At 37.6% G+C, this 19,437-nt stretch overlaps 1 protein-coding gene across 4 annotated transcripts in view; it reads right to left on the bottom strand.

The window, feature by feature from the left end:
• Window positions 1–19,437, bottom strand: part of PPME1 (protein phosphatase methylesterase 1) — an 83,415-nt gene that overhangs the window by 7,763 nt on the left and 56,215 nt on the right. For 2 of the 4 annotated variants that reach the window (NM_016147.3, XM_047427116.1), the window contains exons 6-10: window positions 16,542–16,696; window positions 15,939–16,029; window positions 10,975–11,040; window positions 7,685–7,808; window positions 736–865 (exon numbers count right to left, since the gene is read on the bottom strand). In NM_016147.3, the coding sequence (NP_057231.1) occupies window positions 736–865; window positions 7,685–7,808; window positions 10,975–11,040; window positions 15,939–16,029; window positions 16,542–16,696 (566 nt within the window). Of the gene's footprint in view, window positions 1–735; window positions 908–1,445; window positions 3,913–7,684; window positions 7,809–10,974; window positions 11,041–15,938; window positions 16,030–16,541; window positions 16,697–19,437 lie in introns of those variants that run through there. The other 2 variants (NM_001271593.2, XM_017017913.3) reach the window with 2 other exon arrangements.

The raw sequence follows: 19,437 nt of genomic DNA, 5'->3' as shown, positions 1-19,437 counted from the left end.
CCAGATAAAACTTTTCAGGTTGAGATTCCCCTATAATTACTATGTTAAACTGGTTCTGAAAACAAGGTTTTACTATTTTAATTCTCATAATAATCAGAATATCCTTATACCACTGCATCTAGCTCTAGACTAAGAAGGACTTGAGCTTGACCAAGTAGACAGGCCAGGCCAGAATTAGGTCATCCTTTATGCTTAGATGAATGCTTATGCTTAGTTAGGTTTAGAGACTGGGTGTGGGGAGGAGAAAAGGCATAGATGAATGAGGAAGGTACTCTACTTTGGATGTCACTACTCATTTGGTGAGAAGTTTTAATGAGGTCATATTGAGATGACAATATACCAACACTGCTATGGACTGAGTTGTGTCCCCCTAAAACTCATGTTGAAGCCCCAATTCCCAATGTGACTGTATTTGGAACTAGGGCCTATAAGGACGTAACCTCAGGTCATGAGGGCAGAGCTCTGACATGATAGGATGAACGTCCCTAATTAATATCCTTAAGAGAAGAGACACCAGAGAGCTCACATTCACTCTTTCTCGGCCATGTGAGGGCACAGAGAGAAGGCAAGCCAGGAAGACAGCCCTCACCACAACCTGACCATGCTGGCACCCTGATCTCAGACTTCCAGCCTCCAGAACTGTGAGAAAATAAATTTCTGTTGTTTAAGCCACTCAGTCTATGATATTTGGTTATGGCAGCCTGAGCTGACTAATATATGCACATATACACTTACCAGCCAAGAGCAGCAATTTAGGAATGGGACAACTAAGAAAGAGATTGGATAAGCCTCGGAACCAGCCGTCCCAGTATTTTTCTGTTTTTGCCAGTTCAATTCTCCAGGTGTATGGATGGTCTTTCTTGGTCTGGAGGAATAAGAGCAAGTTCTGAGTCTCCGAGGGCAACCCCTGGAGGAACAGGATTAAAAACTAGATCCCTGGGAAAAGGAAAGGGAAGGAAACTAGCACTTATTAAGGACCTACTAAGTCCTAGACATTTTAATATACATTCAATCCTTCCAACAGTCTTGTTGTATGGGTCACTGTTAATATTCATTTTAAGATAATTACAAGTTTACTTTTTATTGCTATTAGTTTCTGTGAATTTAGGAAACTTTCTTAAGATCACAAAGCTAGTAAGTGGTAGTGCCAAGATTAAGCCTTTCTTATACTTGGTTGGCAAAAGGATGTTTCATCAAAAGAATAACTACAAAGAACATACTGCAGTATGAAAAAATGCTTATAATATAAGCAAGAAACAGATTACAACATGTCATCTAAGTTAGGATTACTACTGGAAAAATGTGGTATAGTAAAGTACTAAAAAGGAAAACTGAAAATAGGTTGATTTGTCAGTAGAGCATTTTTTCTTATATTTTATGATAATGATATAATGTTCCTGCAATAGTAATTTTGAAAGGAAATATGAGACAAATATGACAAAATGTCAACATTTATTAAATCTTTATTGTAGATAAGCACAGAGTATGCAATCAAATATTGGCTGAAAAAATAAATAATTCTCTATATTTTTCTGTACCATTGAAATATTTGAAACATTATAATTGAAATAAATATACTGAATCAACCACAATATGAAAATCTAAAAGTGAACATGAGATAGTAACATATTATCTTAAAGATCACTGGATGCTTAAGATGTCCATACTACCCAAAGTAATCCACAGATTCAATATAATCTCTATCAAAATTCCCATGGCTTTTTTTTTTAGGAAATAAAAAAAATCACCTTAAAATTCATATGGAATCTCATAGACACTGACTAGCCAAAACAATTTTGAAGAAGAACAAAATTGGAGAACTCACACTCCCCAATTACAAAGCTGCAGTAATTGAAACAGCTTAGTACTGCCGTAAAGACAAATAGACCAGTGGAATAGAATAGAGAGCCCAAAAATAAACCTTCACATAAATAGTCAAATGATTTTTGACAAGACTGCCAAGACCACTCAATGGGGAAAGAACAGTCTCTTCAACAAACAGTACTGGGATAACCAAACAGATATGCATATTCCAAAGTGAAGCTGGGGCCTTATCCCATATCCAAAAATTAACTCAAATGGATTAAAGACCTAGTAAGACTAAGACTATAAAACTCCTAGAAGAAAACATGGAGGAAAAGCTGGACAGTAGACTTGGTAATGATTTCTTGGATATGACACCAAAAAGCAGTGAACAAAAGCAAAAATAGACAAATGGTACTATGTGTATGGAATGGGAGAAAATCTTTGCAAATCATATATCTTATAATGGATTAATATTCAGAATATATAAAGGACTCCTACAATTCAGCAACTAAAAACATCGAGTAACCTGATTAAAAAATGGTCAAAGGGCTTGAATAGACATTTCTCTAGAGGTGATACAGAAGTGGCCAATAAGCATATGAAACGATGCTTAACATCACTAATCAATAAATAAATGCACAGCAACACCACAATGAGATACCACCTCACCCCCATTAGGATGACTACTATCAAAAAAGAGAAAAATAAGTGTTGGTGAGGATGTGGAGAATTCGGAAGGAACCCTTGTGTACTGAGTTGTAAAATAGTTCAACCAATAAGAAAAACATCAAGGCAGTTCCTCAAAATATTAAAAACAGAACTACTGTATGATCCAGGAATCCCACTTCTGGGTACATATCCAAAGAATTGAAAACAGAATCTCAAAGAGGGATCTGCAAACCCATGTTCATAGCAGCACTATGGATAACAGCCAAGAGGTGGAAGCAACTCAAATGGCCACTGATGGATGAATGAATAAACGAAATGTGGTATATACATATATAATTCAGCCATAAAAAGGAAAGAAATGCTATCACATGCTGCATAGGGACTGAACTTTGAGGACATTATGCCAAGTGACATAAGCCAGTCACAAAAAGACATATAATATATGATCCCACTTATATGAGGTATCTAAAATAGTCAAATTCATAGAAAGTAGAATGGTGGCAACCAGGGGCCTTTGGAAGAGTTTTAGAAAAGGGGAGTTGTTGTTTAATAGGCATAAAATCTCAGATGTTTCACAACAATGTGAATATTAACTGTACACTTAAAAATTACCAAGATGGCATATTTTATGGGTTGTTTTTTGTTTTGTTTTTGTTTTTTATCACAGTAAAAAAAAAAAAAAGAAAGAAAGAAAGGAAAAGAAAAAGAAAAAGATCGCCAGATGGGAAATCAAGAAACTTGGGTCTTCTAGTCCTATCTTTGCCACTGATTTTCTCAGATCCCTTCCCTTCTTTGGGCCTTGGTCTTCCATCAGTAAAAGGAGATACAAAGGTACCTTATGATTCAAATATTCTCACTAAAGAACTAATTCTATTCTCCACTGTTAATATTTACCAGGGATAGGACACTTTAAAGGAAACACTTACTGCCATTTCAACCTGGAACCTCAGCCTGTCCTATTCCCCACAACACTATGAGCCATTTCTAAGAGATCAGCTCCACCGTCAGAGACAAGGCATAATCTCACAAGCCCCTCCTACATGCACACTGAACTTCACAGGGAAATGACAAATTTAAGGTAAGAAAACCTCCAAAAAGTAACATTATAATATATATATATATAACAGTTCATCTCAAATCTTAAAATTTGCAAAACCAAAAAAAAAAATTCTGGACAGAATTAGGATTTCTTCTGTATTTAGGTTATTGGAAATAAATCCTTTCTCCAAAGAGCTGGATCATGAAGTTTAGTTTAGATGCCTATTAGATGCTGTGAAAATGGTAATAAAGCAGGCTGATATAATGAGATCCACTTGTTGTTGGGTGGGAGAAACAGAAAGTTGGCTAACAATCTTCCTGGGATGTTTACCTGGGCGAGATGCAGTTCTCCACACAAGGGCATCCACCACAGGCCTTGCATTATCTCCCATTGTTTCACTGGAAAAGTGTTTAAAAACATAACGCTTTGTGTCAGTCAGATCTGACTGAATGCAAGTCCCAAAGCCATTCTTAACTAATCACTGTGGGTCCCTTGGGAAAGTTACTTAATTTCTTCCAGCCTGTTTTTTTTTTTTTTTTTTTTTTTTTGAGACAGAGTCTCACTCTGTCGCCCAGGCTGGGGTGCAGTGGCACAATCTCGGCTCACTGCAACCTCTGCCTCCCGGGTTCAAGCGATTCTCCTGCCTCAGCCTCCCGAGTAGCTGGGACTACAGACGCACGCCACCACGCCCAGCTAATTTTTGTATTTTTAGTAGAGACGGGGTTTCACCATGTTGGCCAGGATGGTCTCAATCTCCTGACCTCGTGATCCACCCACCTCGGCCTCCCAAAGCGCTGAGATTACAGACATGAGCCACTGCACCCAACCCCAGACTGTTTTCTTAGCTGTGAAATTGGCAACACAAGATCTGAAAGAATTGTAAGGATGAGCTAAAGATACTCATGTATGTAAAACAACAGGAGCGTGGTCTGGCACATAAACAAGTATTAAAATTTTTAAAAAATATATAGGATGTCAATAACCTTGAAAAAGAAGAACAAAGTTGGAGGACTTACACACTGTCTGATTTCAAGACATACAACAAAGCTACAATAACAAAGACAGTGTGGTACTTGCATAAGGGCAGACATATAGATCAACAGAATAGAATTCAGAGTTCAGAAATAAAATCTAACATTTATAGTCAATTGATTTTCAGCAAAGGTGCCAAGACAATTAAATGGGGAAAAAGGAGCCTTTTCAATAAATGGAGCTGGGACAGGCTGTTTATTGGGTATCTACATGCAAAAGAATGAAGTTGGTTCCATTCCTGATATCATACACAAACATTAACTCAAAATGGAACATAGGCCTAAATGTAAGAGCTAAAACAAGAAAATTCTTAGAAGAAAACATAGGTATAAATCTTCATGACTTTTAGGCAAAGACTTCTTAGATATAATACCAAAAGTACAAGGGACAAAAAGAAAAATAAATTGAATTTCATCAAAATTAAAAACGTCTATACTTCTAAGAATGCCATCAAGAAAGTGAAAAGACAACCCATGGAATGGGAGAAAGTATTTGCAAATTAGGGATCTGTATCTAGAATATATATAGAACTCTTAAAATTCAGTAATAAAATCAAATAACCCAAGTAAAAAATGGGCAACGTATCTAACAAACATTTCTCCAAAGAAGATATATAAGTGGACAATAAGCACATGAAAAGAAACTCAATATCAGCAGTCATTAGGAAAATGAAAATCAAAACCACAATCAGATATCACTTCATACACACTAGGATGGCTATAATCAAAAAGAGAGAAAATAACAAGTGCTGACAAGGATACTGAGAAACTGGAACACGCATACACTGCAAGTGCGAATGTAAAAGGGTGCACCTGCTTTGGAAAACGGTCTGTCAGTTCCTCAAAAGGTTAAATATAGTTACCATATGATCGATCAGTTCCACTCCCAGCTGTGTACCCAAGACAAATAATAAAAGCCTATATCCACACAAAAAGTTGCACACAAATGTTCAAAGAAGTATTATTCATAATAGACAAAAAGTGGAAACAACCCAAATGTCCATCAAGCGATGAATGGATTAAAAACTGTGGTATAGCCATACAATGTCACATTATTCAACCATATAGAGAAATGAAGTATTTGATACGTGCTACAATATGGATGAACCCTGATAATTTTATTTTAAGAGAAAAGAAGCCAGTCACAAAAGACCACATATTATATAGTTCCATCTATATTTAATGTCCAGATTAGGCAAATCTATAGAGATTAGATTAGTGGTTGCCTAAGCTGGGAGGGTTGGGGAGAAATGGGGAGTGAATTCTCATGGACACTCCTTAATGTGCCTCAGTTCACCCTCTCAACAGAACTGCTGGAGTTTATGAAACCACATAATTGGGCTTATAAAAAAATACAAAGAAAAAATGAGTTAGAATTAAAAATCGAGGATCTGGGTGTGTTTTAGCTTTAACTTTTATGTGTGACCATGGGCAAGTATCTGTACCTAAGTTGTAAAATGGTGATAATACCTACAATGCAGAACTAAAATGAGAATTAGAGATGATAAATGTGAAGCATTCAGCATAGTGCTTAGCACATAATGGGTAAAAAGCAATTGATTATATTAAGAGTCTCAAATCTACTAAATGCGTTCTTGATTACCTTGGGCAAGTCTCTTAACTTCTGAGCCTCAGATTCTACACCATAATATGGGAGAAAAGATCTCTCCACACCTCATAAGGTGTTCAGAGGACCAAACAGACCATGCGTTATTTAAACCCTTGTAAACTCTAAAGAGGTACAAAGTATTACATTTCTGATCACTGTTTTAAAGATGGCAAGAAGATCCTCAAATTTAAAATACTGTTTAAAAATGTATTCTCCTTCTTGCTAACAGCAGCATCACCAAATGCAAAGGAGTAGGTCATTACATGTTCATTACCTGCCATTAGTAAGATGTTTATAATCGAAACCATCCCTAGTCTGCTGTTCATGAGCACTAAACATTTTCAAGAAAAAAGCACTTGTTACCACTACTTGCCTGGCAAGTACTCATAAAACACTATTTATACAACCCTGAGCTAAATGCAGAGGGAAATTCATGCAGAACATCAGTTTCTGCCACAAAATACACATTTTTTGTTTGTTTGGAATACAATTCTTGCACAGAGGACAACATGAGTCAACAGATGACTAGCAAAGGACCATAGTATTTCTGAGTGTGACTTATAAAATCAGTTCTATGACTTAATATGTACAACTTCAAAAAAAAAGTGCTAAGGTGTGTCATACAGACTTTCAGTGCTGTGTTGGAAAGACAGTGATACTAATTGAGGTCAGAAAGCTTCCCCAGGGAAGTTGGGTGTGGTGGCACGCACCTGTAGTCCCAGCTACAGCTACTGGGGAGGCTGAGGTGGGATGATCACGTGAGCCAAGGAATTCAGCCTGGGCAACATAGCAAAACCCAGTCTCAAACGAAAAAAAAAAAAAAAAAAATGGAAAGAAAATTAAAGAGCTTCCTCAAGGAGAAAAACTTTGAAAGACAGATGGACAGGGTAAAATCTGCATGAGCTTAGGCCGGGCATGGTGGCTCACGCCTGTAATCCCAGCACTTTGGGAGGCCAAGGCGGGTGGATCACGAGGTCAGGAGATTGAGACCATCCTGGCTAACCCGGTGAAACCCCGTCTCTACTAAAAATAACAAAAAAAAATTAGCTGGGTGTGGTGGCGGGCGCCTGTAGTCCCAGCTACATGGGAGGCTGAGGCAGGAGAATGGCGTGAACCCGGGAGGCGGAGCTTGCAGTGAGCCGAGATCGCGCCATTGTACTCCAGCCTGGGTGACTGAGCAAGACTCTGTCTCAAAAAAAAAAAAAAAAAAAAAGATCTGGATGAGCTTAGAGTAGACTGGTAGGAAATGGAATTTTTCTCATGGGAGGAAACACAGGAACAGAAGAACAGGTGAGAAAGCAGTCTGTTTTAGGGGAGGGTATATAGCGTAAGTTTTATGTTCCAATTGGTCAGAGCTATCAACAGTGCTTTACATCTTATAGTTAAGCTAAGTATCTCTTATGATAGTGTCTTGGCTCCCTAAAATACCTAATGGCAAACAAAAAGAACAATGTTATCACCCCTTCCCACCCACACACAGTTTGAACCATTCCATACCGCATCTTTTCAAGAATGAATGTTTTTACCCACCTCCATGTCATCTTCCTTTTTCCTCTTGCTTATAGACTCACTTCCTTCCTCATCTTCTTCTTCTTCCTCTATGATTCCTTCCACTATAGATTTTGAGCCTTCTGGACTTGTAATTCCTTCACACCTAGGTTTTTTTAAAAAAGTGCTATTACACACCTCTTTCCAATACACAAATTATCTCAGAGATACTCATACTTACGGCCTTTTATAATCAAATGTTAGCTAAAACTTAACAATCATCCTGGTAGGAGGATAGAATTGTGCATTTCCAGGGCTGTGGAAAATCATGGCCAATGTATAACTATTCTCCAAGGGCTGGTTTCCAGTTCTTGCACCAATACTGACCCATAGAAAGGGAGCAACCACTTCCTCAGGCATGAGTTTTATTGGCATAATCTTATATAATCTTCATAACAATCCTATGAAGTAGCCCTGAAGAGTTAAGAAAATTGTCCAGCATCACCTAACTCATAAGTGGTTAAGGCTGGGATGCAAATCCAGGCTCAACTAACTCCAAAACATGGTGCTTTTCTGCTGAACCCTGCTTATAGTAGAACAAGGCTCAAACAGAATGATAAAAGGCCTCACTTTTTAATTAGCTGACAGAAACCATCTGAACCAACCAATTATCATTGTTGTTTTTCTCTTAAAAATTGCATCTCTTTTTATTATATTCTTTGGTAGAAAAATTATTATTATATCAACAGCTGGTACCATACTTCCTTTAGAGAGAACTTGATGGAAAAAACACATTGACAAGCTCTGAAGGTAAAAAAATCCCAAGGGCCTGGGCAACAGCTAGTGCCAAGGTTTGCTCTGTATGATAGAGAACAATCTGTTATTTTGCCCTTGACAAAGACAGAGAAGGAAAAGGAGAGAGAACAAGCAAGATAAAAAGAGACTGGGATAAATTCAAAAGTCAGCGGTAGATTTTTAAGAATGATAACTTCTCCCTTTCTGTCTTCTCTGCCAAACCTTCAGTGAAGTGTAAGTTCACAAATGTTTTGTTAAGTAGGTGTTTTATATGAAACTTGTGCCAAGTTTCACATGTAGTATACAGTATAGATGTGATAAAAAAAAAAAAAACAGTGTAACAAAGAAACATATGCTTTGAATTTCTATAGCCTGTGGATTAGGAGGTTCAAGGCAATTTCACCTGGATTATAAGGGGCAGGAAAGTTCCAGCTATCTATGTGACAGTTAATACACATGCACATACACACTCTCCTACACATAGGTTTACTTATTAAGAGAAAACATCACTGGAAATAAAATTTTAAAATCACTCAACTATCTGCATATATGCCATGTAAAATGCTTTACTACTGATTAGACAAATTTGAGGTCTCAAAATATTTAGGAATTGAAAAGTGGGCAGTCTCACAGGTTATTCAAAGTCTTGCATTTTGACTGCCTGATATTTCTACTGAAATTGCCCTTTTAGGCATAAAACCATAAGATAGGCCTTGAAGTCAAATACACAGGAGTTTGAATCTCAGCTATGTCATCCACTAGCTATGTGATCTTGGGAAACTACCTCTCTGAACTTCTATTTCCTCATCTATAAAGCAATACTTATCTTAAAGAGGTATTGTAGGGATTAAATGAGATAGTGCAAATGAATTAATGAATCTAGGTAATAAACATCAACGGCTCCTGACATTAAAAAAAAAGAGACAATTGGCTGGGCATGGTGGCTCACGTCTGTAATCCCAGCACTTTGAGAGGCCGAGGTGGGCGGATCATGAGGTCAGGAGATAGAGACCATCCTGGCTAACACAGTGAAACCCCACCTCTACTAAAAATATAAAAAATTAGCCGGGCATGGTGGCACATGCCTGTAGTCCCAGCTACTCAGGAGGCTGAGGCAGGAGAATTGCTTGAACCTGGGAGGCAGAGGTTGCAGTGAGCTGAGATCGCGCCACTGCACTCCAGCCTGGGCGACAGAGTGAGACTCTGTCTCAAAAAAAAAAAAAAAAAAGACAACCAGACATTATGTACTTCCTGATGGCAGTACGCAACATCACCTATCAAGTATTCTTGCAAACAAAACACCTGAACCCGATGAAGCTTCTAGATTTAACTATTTACACAGAATATAAGGAACAAAGGAATATGTTAAATTATGGCCTGAGAATTCAATCAGCAAATCCAGATCATGGGAAATTCTATGGGGCAAACAAGGTTTCCTCAAGAAATAAATTGCAAGGAATCAAAAAAAAGAGGGAGACAGAAGTGGAACCTTAGATTAAAAGATGCATGAGAGGTGGATCAACCAATTGCTATCTACTTATTTTGATTTTGACTTTAATTGTAAAAAATTATTTATGAGACAATCAGAAATGTAAATATTGATTAGATATTTGATGATATTAAAGAATTGCCAATTTTTTTACGTGTAATAATGTCATCGTGATGATGTTTAAAGAGCCCTTATTTTTAGATCATATGAAAATCTTGCAGAGGAAATTATATTTGTTTGGAATTTGCTTCAAAATATTTTGTGACTAGGGGAAATACATAGGGGCACAGATGAAACAAATGAGACATGGTTATGGGTTAATAACCATTGAAAATGGACAATGGGAACACTGGGGTCCATCCACTGTATCACTCTTCTTTTATATGTGCAAAATTTTTCCATAATATAAGGTTTTAAAAATGAGACAGTGCATATAAAATACCTTGCACAGTGCCTGGCAAATAGTAAGCACTCAAAGCCATTATCATTTTCATCTAACTTCTGTCTGTTCTGTTGGGCAACATTTTCTCAATTCATCTAAAGTTTATTTTGTGACTATACAGCAATACCCAGAATGCCATGTAATTCTATCAGGAAAGATCAATTGGGCTAAATAATCTTAGCTCACTCTTAGAATCTGGCTTTCACTCAGGCTATGCCAGAGCTTTTTTATTATAATTCCCTCACAGCCAGGTTTGGCTTAGAAGGAGACTGTTACTAGAATGAAACTCAGCTGCTATCACTAAGGTTAACATAATTTGTAATGTCTATGCTCTGGGATTTGCTTTTTAACACGCAGAGTTTTGCTAAGGTAATCCAGTATTAAATGAGGAGGAAAAAAAAGAAAGGGAAGGAAAGGAAGGAGAGAAAGGAAGGCAGGCGAAAGAAAATCTATGTCTGTCCCAACTGAACTCACCTTTAAAATTATTTAAAATAATAAAGGCATTTACCGGAATGGTAGAATTGGTGTAAGACAAAAGAAGCAATCTGTAATTCCCTCACCATGTTTCCGCCTCTAACCAGACCAAGGGGGAAGAGTAAGACCTACTGTTTGACTTGGCCAACCATTGAGACACGGGCAGACTCCAGATTTCGAATCTGGCCACTCTTCACACTGGGAAAGAAAAGAAAGGAAGAGAGAAGGTTATTCAGTATCTATTGTATCACATCATTGGAATCAAATAAATAATTCTACAGATTATGTGAGACCTAATAAAAAGTAGTGATCACCAGTGTTTCTTACTATAGAGATTGCCACTATTACTCACCTGGCTACATGGTTTTATAAGTAAAAATTAAGTAAAAACATCATAGCCATTTCAGTTCTGCAGATATTTATCAAGAGGATACTAGGTGCCAGGCCTGTATTCAAAAAGCACATAATTCGGTAGGGAGAAAAAGACACATATAATGTTAATATAATGAGGCAAGGTTCAAAGAAAGCACTTGAACATGAATGAGGAGGTCAGAGAAAGCTCCCCAGAGGTCACAGCTAAACTGAGGAGTATAGATAACAAGTTTAACCAGAAAATAAAAGAGGTTGGTTAGAGCATTCTAGGCAGAGGGCACATTATGTACAAAGGTGCTGTGATGTGAAAGTCGGCAGGATAATGATTTTAGAGAACTGGGTGCAAGGAGAAGCAGGGAGGAGATAAAAGGGGAGCGTGACAGAATAGGATTGGAAGGCAGGCGCCAGCTTCTCCAGGGCCTTGTGTGCCGTGCTACAGGGCTTAGGCTATCTGAATAAATTAGTCTTCTCACATTTGTCCACCTAAGTACAACTAAGGCAGAGCAAAATGACTGCATTCCCAGGGTGAACTGGAAACACTGCCTGAAGCAAGCCACTAGGAGAAAGCACTTCTTTAAATCTCATTTCTTAGTTTAAAAAATCATTCAAAATTTTAAAGCCCCTCTCCTCAGATAATGACATGATTTCTTACTTTAATGGTAAACCGAGGCAATCAGAACTATTACCTCATCTTTTAACTACCAAATGAATCCACAAATTCACCAATACTTGTAATAATATACTCTGCCTTGATGCCTGTTTAATACATGAAATATCTATTCCTATCAAGGCCAACCTTGGGCACTAGTTCCCATCCCCTCTTGCTTCTGAAAAGATACTCTTTCTTTCAGTTATCCTGTCTCTCTTCTGTGTCACTTTTTTTCTCTCGTGGATGTCACAAGCATACTCCATTATCCAGCCTTTAAAAACATTCCCAATGCCACATTCACTACTACCTATTACTCCATTTCTCTGCTCTCCTATACAGCAAAGCTCCTCAAAAGAGTTATCTTGCTTTCTCTACTTTGTCACCTCTCATCCTTTCCCCAACTTATATATGATTTTTATATCCCATTTATTTTCAGATATTTATTTTGTCAAGGTCACCTCTATCATGCCAATTCCAATGGTCATTTCTTGGTCCTCATCTTACTTGATCTCTCTGCAGCATCCGACACAGTTATTCTCTCCCTCCTTCTACAAACACTTAATATACTCACCTGGTTTTCCTTTTATCTCATCAACTGTGCCTTTTCAGTTTCTTTGTTGGATCTTCCTCTTCTTCCCAAGCTCTAAATATTGTGGAATATCCCAAGACTCAGTCTTGGATCTTTTTCCTATCAATATCAAGTTCCTAGGTCTTTACATTCAATCTTTCACTTTTAAATATTAACTATGTGATGACGATTCTCCAATTTATCTCTAGTTCAGCCTCTTCTAACTAGTATATACAACTGCCTACTTAACATTTCTACTTACATATGTAATAAGCATTTGAGTTTATCCAAACAAAACTGATTCTCTGCCCCTTATTTGCTCCCATATCTACCTCTTTCTGTTTCTACCATTCACCCAATTGCTTGGGCTAAAAACCTAGAAGTCATCCTTAAGTCCCTTCCTGCCCTTCCCCGTCTCTCTCCCAACATCCAATCCATAAACCAGTCCTGTCAGTTCTACCTCGAAAATACATTAAAAAATGACTCTCTTCCTCTGTTGCCATCCTCGTCTATGTTTACCATTATTACTCTCCTTTACTATAACAGTCTCCTAACCAACTTCACACCTCATTCCCCACTTCTTCTATTTGATTTTCCTCAGAACAGCCAGAGTGGTGTAACCAAGATGCAAATTTGTATCTGTCTGACCTCAAAGCCCAGGTTTCCCCTAACTTTTTTGTTTTGTTTCGAGACAAGGTCTCACTCTGTTGTTCAGGCTGAAGTGCAGTGGCATGATCATAGCTCACTATAACCTTGAACTTCTGGGCTCAAATGATCCTCCCACCTCAGCCTCCTGAGTAGCTGGGACTATAGGCACATGCTACCACACCCAGCTAATTAAAAAAATATATATATTTTTTGTAGAGACAGGGTCTCGCTATGTTGCCCAGGCTGGTCTCAAACTCCTGGCCTCAAGTAATATTCCTATCTCAGCCTCCCAAAGCACTGGGATTACAGGTGTGAACCACCACACCTGGCCTAAAGCCCAGGTTCTTAATGACTATACCCCTGCTGCCTCTCATTAGGAAACCTATGAGAGCAAAAGCAGTAAATCATTGGCCTTATATTTCAACATAAAAAAAAATCTAGAATAGCCAAAATGGCCATCAGTCATAAACTTGATTCAGATATCCAGCAGAATAAAAAACAAAATTACCAAATACCTCATAGTATAATAATTTTCAGGTTCAGAAAGATCAATGACTCTCATGAAACCCAGAACATCTTAACATTTAACAAACAGAACCCTTATTCTATCCTGTATCTGGCAAAAGAAACAAGACTACTTTAAGAGAAGGCCTACCATGATACCCAGGCTGCATTAGGTATATCCCCTGGCTTCCTTCATTGTGTTATGTTTATGTGTTTCCTTGTTTGCATCCCCAGTTTTTTGATGATAGGAACTGAGCCTGATTCATCCCCCAGTTCTTAGATCAGGTACTGACACATCTTAGGCACTAGAAAAAAAAATTTACTGAATAAATTTTTAGAGTTCGGAAAAAGGGCCAGGCGTAGTGGCTCATACCCATTTATCCCATGACTCTGAGAGGCCGAGGCGGGCAGGCAGACTGCTTGAGCTCAGGAGTTCAAGACCAGTCGAGCCAACATGATAAAACCCTGTCTCTACAAAAAAAAAAAAAAAAAAAAAATCAAATAACAAAAATTAGCTGGGCATCGTGGTGCACAGCTGTAGTCCCAGCTACTTGGGTGGCTGAGGCAGGAGGATCGCTTGAGCCCAGAAGGTCAAGGCTGCGGTGAGAGCTGTAATCATGCCACTGGACTCCACAGCCTGGGCAACAGAGTGACACCCTGTCTCAAAAAAAAAAAAAAAAAAAGTTTGGATAAAAGTTGGATGGGCTTTAGACAACTGAGCCAAGTCTAGAATAACTTTCTCACTTGTTGTTACTGCGGAAGCAGGCAGGGCACCTGAGATACAAGCCAAGCTGGCAGCAGCTACATTCTTGATGCTATCTGCCCAAGATAGATCTTTGATATTTCTGTGAGAACAGGAATCCTGCATCACAGTAGTGAACAGGAAGTGGTAGAAACTTCACCAACACAAACATCATTCTGACAAGCCATATTCTTGCATAAGACCATTTGTCCTAGGAAAACGCCTAGGATATATTTACCAAGTCCTAAATTTCCACTTGATATCTGATTCAGTTAACAGATATATTCTGCCTGCTAGGGCAGTATGCCATATGCTATATGAAAGTAGAAAAGAAATACAGAATAGCTTCTTCCCTTATGATGCAGGAAGGGCATTAAGACAGACATTAATGAAAATTAACAATATGAGCCATATCCCTCAAGGGAGTATTGGAAAACTTAAGGGTATACAGTGCAATATAATAGAGACTTAAAGGTCTCTTGTAATTTTGCTGAAAGCGTCATCTGGGTGGTTTGGAGAACTTAAGAGAAAATGTTCTGAAGAAGAGACTGGAGATGGAGTTAGAAGAATAGGAAGGAAGATAGGATGATGAAGACATTTATCCAAAGACTGATCTCCTTGTGGGAAGGGACAGTGTTTTATTCATCTCTGAATCTTCACTCATTAGCACAAAATAAGTGTTTAATAAATACTTTATCAAATGATTAACTGAATTAATGAATAAATTCATTCCTTTGCTTAAATGGAATTCTGTCACTGATTTTTATAAAAACTATTTACCCATTGAGTTTATTTACCCAAAATCCAAATAAATTTGAGGGAATGGAACCTATAGCCATCTTCCATTTCTCCACCATTTTATCTGAAACACAGAAAGTAAATCTAAAACCATGAAGCATCAGAGGTGGATGATGCCTTAGAAACCACCTAGTCTAACCTCTTACCTCAGAGGCAGAAACAGCTAGACAGCAGATGATCAATAATTACTAAGATTCCAGGAGGTACTATAGTGTATTGGGAAAACAATGGGTTTCAGACAACTGAGCCAAATCTAAAATATTTTTAAATGTTCAAAAAATTCTGCTGTTTATATAATGTTTCCTCATATGCTATTACAATAAGGCGTGGCAACTGAAATTCTATTCCTTGAACTTGGTGCTTGACCTAAAAAAGAAGAAAAGCTACAATCTAACATTTAGAATAAAGGCAACAGTGGCTGGGCACTGTGGCTCACGCCACAACCCCAACACTTTGGGAGGCTAAAGTGGGAGGATTACTTGAGGCCAGGAATTTGATTACTTGATTACTTGAGGCCAGGCTAAAGCAGGAGGATTACTTGAAGCCAGCCTGGGCAACATAGCAAGACCTCGTTTCTACAAAAAATTTAAAAATTAGCCAGGCTTGGTGGTGTGTACCTGTAGTCTTAGCAACTTGGGAGGCTGAGGTGGGAGGATTGCTTGAACCTAGGAGTTCAAGGTTGCAGTGAGCTAGGATCATGCCACTGCACTCCAGCCTGGGTGACAGAGTGAGGCCTTGTCTCCTAAATAAATAAATAAGCAAGCAAACAAACAAACAAATTAATTAAATAAAGGCGACAAAGATTTGTTGGTTACCTCCATTCAATAGCATTCTCCAGAGACTTGAAGGTTTTAGGACGACCCCGTAAGAAATTCTGCATGCTATTAAGTGCATCCATAGCTGTACCTGGATGTTAAACAAAAACTGTAACCACATATTTAACTTATTCTGAGCATTTACACTTACTGAGTCAACTACTATATATCTGCTCTTGATGACAGCAGAATTTAGTGATGCTCGCAGAGAAATAAAGATGGCCCTCAATAATTTTTGCCTCTGGGGTATTCACTTCTTTATGTCATGCCCTCACACTGAAGAGGATGACTTGTATTCACAAGCAGCAGTGTGACTTCTGAAGCTGGGTCAGAAAAGACATGGCAGCTTCTTTTTATATGATTAAATACAATTATGGGACATACATAGGATTGAAATATTATGCAGCCATAAAAAGATGTTAATGAAGAGTTTTTGATGACATGGAAAAATGGTTATCTTGTATAAACTTAAAAAAGATATAAAGACAGAGGGACATATTTCAAGATGAATGAAATCAACAATAAACTAAGACAAGGTAATAATCTACCAAGGATGTCTCTTATAAGTGAAATCCTGATTTGGTCAGTGCTAAGAAAACTCACCTTCTACAACATCAATCATGCACAGACCCAAGAGGCTTGGTACCAGGTTGGATGATGCTGTGTGGACTGCAATAGCACCACCCATGCTATGTCCAATCAGCATAATTGGAGGAGGAAGGTCCCCATACATGGCTTCAACCACATTGCCAACGTCTCTGCAAAGAGAAGAGAAAAAGATCTAAGAATGCTTTCTGACAACACTGTAAAAATGGTTTTCTTTCCCAGTTCCTTTCTTTGGTGTGTAACAGTGCTGGGAAACTGTAAAAGTCTATTGGGCCATCTTACAAACATACCTATGTAAACCTTCTAACATGTCCCCAGCATCAATATGTGTAGCCACACACCTAGCTCTCCTGATAAATGGCAGGTAAAGGACTAAGAACCCAAATTACTGAATTTTCCTTTACATCACACTTTCACTGTTCCACATATGTAGTACAATTACATAAACATATACCTTTATTTTGAACCTAAGATTGAAACTGGAAAAATCATTTAACTGCTCTGTTTCAATTTTCCCATCTATAAAACAAGAACAAAAATTTATTAAGCATTATAATGTAGTAAACCTCAGAATCACAAGATGAGCCCTAGCCTCAGTTTATTTTTCACTATGTGATCTTGGGTTAGTTACTTAATCTCTCAGAAACTGAGTTTCGACATCTATAAAAAAAGATAAAAATATCACTGACTGCTCTGGATTGCTTTGAGGATTAACTGAGAAGGGAACAAGAAAACACCTCGAAAGAGTAAAATGCTTCACAAATGTTAATTATTATTTACAATTTCTCATTTGTTTGAAGGATGAACATAAATGTAAGTACAGTGCTCTGAGAAACTAGAAAGGTGTTCAGAGCTCATTTTATTGGCTTTGGTTCTAATCTTCAATTATTAATGGACCTATTTAACAAAGTCTAATTTTAAAGCTTTGAAAATTAGAACTGAAGTATGAAGTTTGGTTTTTAATTGCATGTAGGCCTTCCTTGCTATAGCAATAGGTGGATAAGAACAGTAAGGTGTGTTTCTGGAGACCCACTGGCTCTACTGCCTTATTATATATATATATTTTTAGGCTAGTTCTACCCCCTTCTTTTGGGAGTGGCTGGTTCAACTTCAAAAGAAAGTTTTGTCTTGTTGAGTGTCACTGCATACCTTAAGCACTCACACAGTGTTAACCAAATATAGCAAGTGTCAAGGTAGGAACACAGACTTTCATATATAGTCTCTACAGTATTTATAATGGCAAAGGCAAATGTTATTAGTTCTGTAGGAACTGATTTTTAAAATCTCATACAACAACTGCAGGAGTGAATAGGGTAGCCTCGGCAATTGTAGACAATCTGAATGGGAGATAGGGAGGCCACCAAACTTTGTAAGTGAAAACAAATAGTTTAATATTCGTTCGACTTAAATTTAAGATTAAGACAGAAAGTGAAGCAGTTCAGGCAGTCATCCAAAGCGATAACAAATAGTTAAGACGAAAAGTCCAAGCTTCTTTGACACCAGTGCTGCTTCTATAGTAACACAAAATTCTCTCTGGGAGACAAAATGATATGAAGGAAAGAAAAGAGAACTAATACTTATTCAGTGCTTCTTTTTCAGTTGTGCTCTAAACTTTCTTATAACATCACCTAACGTAATCCTTCAGCAGCCCTGTCTAGAAGGTTCTGTATTAATCAATTAATCTCACTGGGTCTATAAAAATATTATTGCATTTTCTCACTGGGTCTATAAAAATATTATTGCATTTCTACCAAGTAAAAAGAGCTGCAGATTCTTGTTACCTCACTGAAACATATTTTCAATGTTTCAACGAGTTAACCAATTTATGCTAGTGTTCCACTACTGGAACACTAAGCATGTGGGAGTTATTTATATCCTACTGCCCAAGGTCATCACCAAGTTCTGATTGCAAAAATTCAAAAAATTGCAACCTCAGGCATAAATGGTAAAGCCATCTCCCCTTGGCATAGGGTAGTGTGAATTCAGAGTAATTTCATGAAGTCAAAACCATGATGCCTTTGCTCAGAGGCCACTGGAAAATATCAGGAACAAAGATTCGATAATATGTGGTCTTTAGAGTAGTAACACAGAGGAAATTATTACACATACAGTTTCTAAAAAATAAAACAGGTAGTATTCCAAAGCTAATTCTGCATATTAAAATAACAGACCAGAAAAAATTATATGCTCAATTAATTAATCTAAAACAATATTGGATACAATTTTGGGGGCAAACTGTTTTTTTTTTTTTAAAGAAAAGACTAAAGTTTAAAACATGTTTATATTAAATATCAACATGTAATTTCCAGAATAATTCTTGAACAATTCCAAGAAACTTTCGGTTGGTAACAGACAAATAATGAGTAAAATAAAAGGATGCTATGGACGATTATCTAAGTCCAAGTCACCTTAAAATACACATTAACTGAATTGAAGGGGTTCTGCAGTATCTGCCTCATGCACAAAGGTAGAGAGGTCTGAAACACACCAACTGAACATCGTGTCTGAGCTTAAGAAAGGCATATTTACCCAGGTAGAAGGTAGTTACGATCAATCACTTGATCATCTACCACCAAGAGAAATTTATTGTTATTAAAATCAAGCAGAGCATTCAGTCAACAAGTACCTTACTTGAGATAAGTCCTGAAAATCCAGAGAAATACAATAAAGATGAAGTAGCAAGGGTTACCTACAAATCTAGACTGTAACTGGATGTATTACAATTTTGGTGGATGCTTTTTAAAGGGATTCTGTCATATTTTAATGCTAGGTTAATTTTCTGAGAAGCATTACTGTGTATCACAGAAATTGGAATATCAGAATGACCCAAGCTCAAATTCTGGCTTTTTCACATACTTTCTTAGGTAGTATTTAGGTTCTGCAGTTGATAATA

The sequence above is a fragment of the Homo sapiens genome, chromosome 11, assembly GCF_000001405.40.
Source record: "Homo sapiens chromosome 11, GRCh38.p14 Primary Assembly".
Lineage (NCBI taxonomy): Eukaryota > Metazoa > Chordata > Mammalia > Primates > Hominidae > Homo > Homo sapiens.
The sequence above is the reverse complement of the archived record's forward strand: the minus strand, read 5'-3'. Positions and strand labels throughout refer to the sequence as shown.